The 3,660-nt window shown below is 39.6% G+C and overlaps 1 annotated feature.

Moving 5' to 3' along the window:
- Positions 2,629-3,129: an enhancer, noted in NCBI's record as "H3K4me1 hESC enhancer chr20:6849737-6850237 (GRCh37/hg19 assembly coordinates)". NCBI's record gives its function as "activates a minimal SCP1, AML or CMV promoter by ChIP-STARR-seq in primed H9 embryonic stem cells {active_cell/tissue: H9 hESC(primed)}" and the evidence as "EXISTENCE:reporter gene assay evidence [ECO:0000049][PMID:30033119]".

The following is a 3,660-nucleotide window of genomic DNA, read 5'->3' as shown; positions in this document are numbered from 1 at the left end:
CTCTTAACTACAAGGAAAATACCCTTGATTTCAAGGGGACGGCGGCACGTGGATACCAAACAAGTTCCACTTGGAGCACGTTAATTAGGTATATCTTGCATTAACGAAAAATTATCTACTGCATGAACAACCATTTGGATTCACAAATATGTGATTACTAAGACATTTAGGGTATTAAGGGAGAAACACGTGCATGTTGCTTATGTAAGTGTAATATCACCCTGGCACTATTTCAAGAACTTTGTGTAGATTGATTCGTTTCATCCACATCCCTTGAGATGGGTGGAATTGTTACCCCACTTTATAGATGAGCCAACTGGGGCTCAAACAGTTTAAATGACTTGCCTGAGGTCATACAGCTAATAAGTGGGAGAGTAGAAATTTGAGCTCAGGCTGTCCAGTTTCAAAGTATATACACCTTTCACCACAACATTATATACTGTCTATACATCTGCTCCACATAAAATCAATTGCAGACCATTTGTTGTTATGTGATTTGAGGGCTAGTTGAGGAAGCGATGACTTTCTTCTCTTGATTGTATACAGTAGATTCTGAAAGGCTGACACTTTCAAGTGTAAGGACAAGGATGCATGGTGGGTAGACAAATGAAGTGTATCTGTGTGTGTGAAGTGATAAGGACAATAGAATACAAAATTTTTTAAATCTGTTTTTTCTATTTTGCATTTTTAGTAGAAATGGGGTTTCACCATGTTGCCCAGGTTGATCTCGAACTCCTCTCCTCAAGTGATCCACCCACCTTGGCCTCCCAAAGTGCTGGGATTACAGGCGTGAGCCACAGCACCTAGCTGAACACAAAATTTTAAATAACATTTTAAACTAGATTTAATTTTGCTTCCAATGGGAAATCATAGAGTGCTCACCATATATACACACATATATTTGTGTACGTGTGTGTGCGTGTGCGTGTTTGTGTGTGTATGTGTGAGTGTGTGTATATACACGGGAGATATTAGATTAAATAAAGTTTTTTGAGTACAGACAATTCCCATGTTAAGACAACTTGATATAGACAGTCAGTATCTTATGGAATTAAAAAAATCATTTAGTTATATTTTGAACATACTGGTAGAGAGAATTGAAAAGATGATGTTCCGTTTGGGCATTTAATTTTGCTGCATCAGAATAAATGTCTCTAGTGTGTGTATCTGTTTTATTGACGGCTTAACTATGACTATTTAATTTGTTTTCCAACTTTTTATTCGAGTTTTGATCCAAATCTCAGGATGAAACAGATGTTTAATTAGCTTAGAAGTAAAATTCTCCGAAGATGGAGACTTTCAAAACATCGGTTTTTCATGGTTTCTATCCACAACATAACACAATTAGTGCACTTGAAAAGACTCACACTCTCAAGTTTTAATCAGCTTGGGCTGAGTTTCAAGGTCTTGGTGAAGCCTGAAGCCAAGCTCCTCCTGCCCAGTTTCAGGTCAGGTTACAAAAGTTTCACAATGTTCTGGTTTCTAGGCCCCTTCTCACCCCGATGCTAATAACTGGAGAAAAGCCTCAGCTTCTAAGAGGTGAAACTGGCATTCCCTCCTAGATGGAGAATGAGCTTCTCGGAGCTATCCTTGATTTACACGGGTAACAGGGGAGGAATTGGGTGACAAGGGTGGATTTATGCAGCCCACTTCTGATCATCATATCAACTGTATCCGTGTGATCAGATAAGGAATGCAGCCAGCTCCTCCAGTCCACAACTTACAACTAAATCAAATCTTCATTTTATGAAGACAAAAGCAAATTCAATTAGAAACTCTAAGAGCTCTGATGGATCAATCAGGTCATATACAATTAGCTCTAATGGTACCTCTCCAGAGGTACATTCCTCACCTGCAGTCAAGGGCTACTCAGAGAGGTGTAAAATTCTTTCTTGACTTTGAAAACATCAAAGCAATTTCTTCTAATCTGAGCTTTATAGCTAGCACTGAGCTAGTGGCTAAGGCTCCAACACCAATAAAGAACTGAGGATGTGAAATGAAGAAATTCCATCTAAATTTTCTAAAAGAGCAGATGGTGATGTTGAATTTCATACACATTTAACTTGTAGAGTGTAATTCCCAACTGCTAATTGTCCCAAGAAATACCAAACTTGCATCCCAGGTTGCAAAGATGATTCTGTAGGCATTTCAAGAAAGAGACATAGGGAATAGCCAAATACGGCATTTCAATTGTCTATTAGGGAATTAACTTGTAAAGATAATTAAATACAAGCTAGTTGATGGTAACAGTTTGTCCCTTGCATCTGGAATGAAAATGTGGCTTCATAGTCCTTTTAGATAATCAGGCCCATAATTAAGACTCTTTAAGAAATAATAGGAGAGGGAGAGATAATTTTTTAAAGATACTGTACATAATCAAGAAAGAGCAAAGAAAAATTGAAGTCCTTTCAGGGGCAGAATGTCCAGTGAAGCAGTTGGCATATAACCTGGGAATGAGATTTAGTGTTTAGCCTCAAGTAAGTGTCTGGACAGAAACTGAACAATCATTAATTACTCCCAGACTGGATGTTTGCATCTGTAAATGAAGAATTTGGATTAGAGAGATCTCCAATAGCCCCTCCAGTTCAGAGACATTGATGTTAGGGTATTAGAAAGCACTGCAGGAAGCTTGCACATGGCCATATTTTCTACAGTACCTCTTCCTTGCAAAGCCAGAAACAAAATATGAAAGTGAACGTTTCTATTTTTATGCTAAAATGGAAACAGAGGTGGGAAGGATAAAAGGAATCCATCATGCAATAGAAACAGTTTTTGTTTTCAATTTCAAACCCAATAGAAATTCTAGCCCTCCAAGGATATCAGGAGGCTGTAACCTTAGCCCTCTACTTACCTGACCTTTAGCAGCAGGGAATAGGCAGCAGCAATAGGGCTTGGAAGTCTACTTCCTAAATCAGTCTTATTCCCTCCAACTTCTGCCCTTTCGGTGAATTATTACACCACCTGGCACCAGGAATATTATTGACTCTGGAGCAGGGAGCTTAATTTTGCAATAAATTTTACAGATTGCTAACTGAAAAACAAGAACAAAAATGAACTACTAGGTAGCTGAAACCGCTGACTCTCACTGCTCCTTCCTGCCCCTGGGTAATTTATGGCAGCAGAGCTGGGCTCCCACACTGCGGCTGCCACTCTGGCTTGGCTGCTCTGCTCACCGCGCGTAGGGCAGTGGGCCAAGGAAGGAAGCCATCGCCCCTTGTCTGTGGATTTCAAACCACACTGCGCATGCTGGATTTCCCACAACCACCCCTGCAGTCTTAGCTCCTAAAATCTCAGAGGTAAAAGTTAGTGGGAACCTTGGGGTATAGCCATAATGTTTAGTAGAAAGAGAGGAAAGAAAAATGCTTTGCAATAGATTGGAACTTTCATTCTATCTCTTCTAGGCTTTTCAGTTCAACATATATTGATGGAACACCCAGTGGATGTTAAGTACTGGGTTAATGTGCTAGAAATTAAAAAGATGTATAAGGCGTGATTCCTAATTGTATCATTATTGCTGTGTAGAAAACCACTCCAAAACGTAATGCTCATGAATTCAGCTTTTGTGTCAGCTAGGGGCTGGCTAGTCTAGAATAGCTTTGGTGAGGATGACTTGGTTCTGCTTGAAGTAATCTCTCTTCCACCATCAGGTTAGCCCAGACA

The sequence above is a fragment of the Homo sapiens genome, chromosome 20 (assembly GCF_000001405.40).
Source record: "Homo sapiens chromosome 20, GRCh38.p14 Primary Assembly".
Taxonomy (NCBI): Eukaryota; Metazoa; Chordata; class Mammalia; order Primates; family Hominidae; genus Homo; species Homo sapiens.
This window is presented reverse-complemented; position numbering and strand designations above follow the sequence as displayed.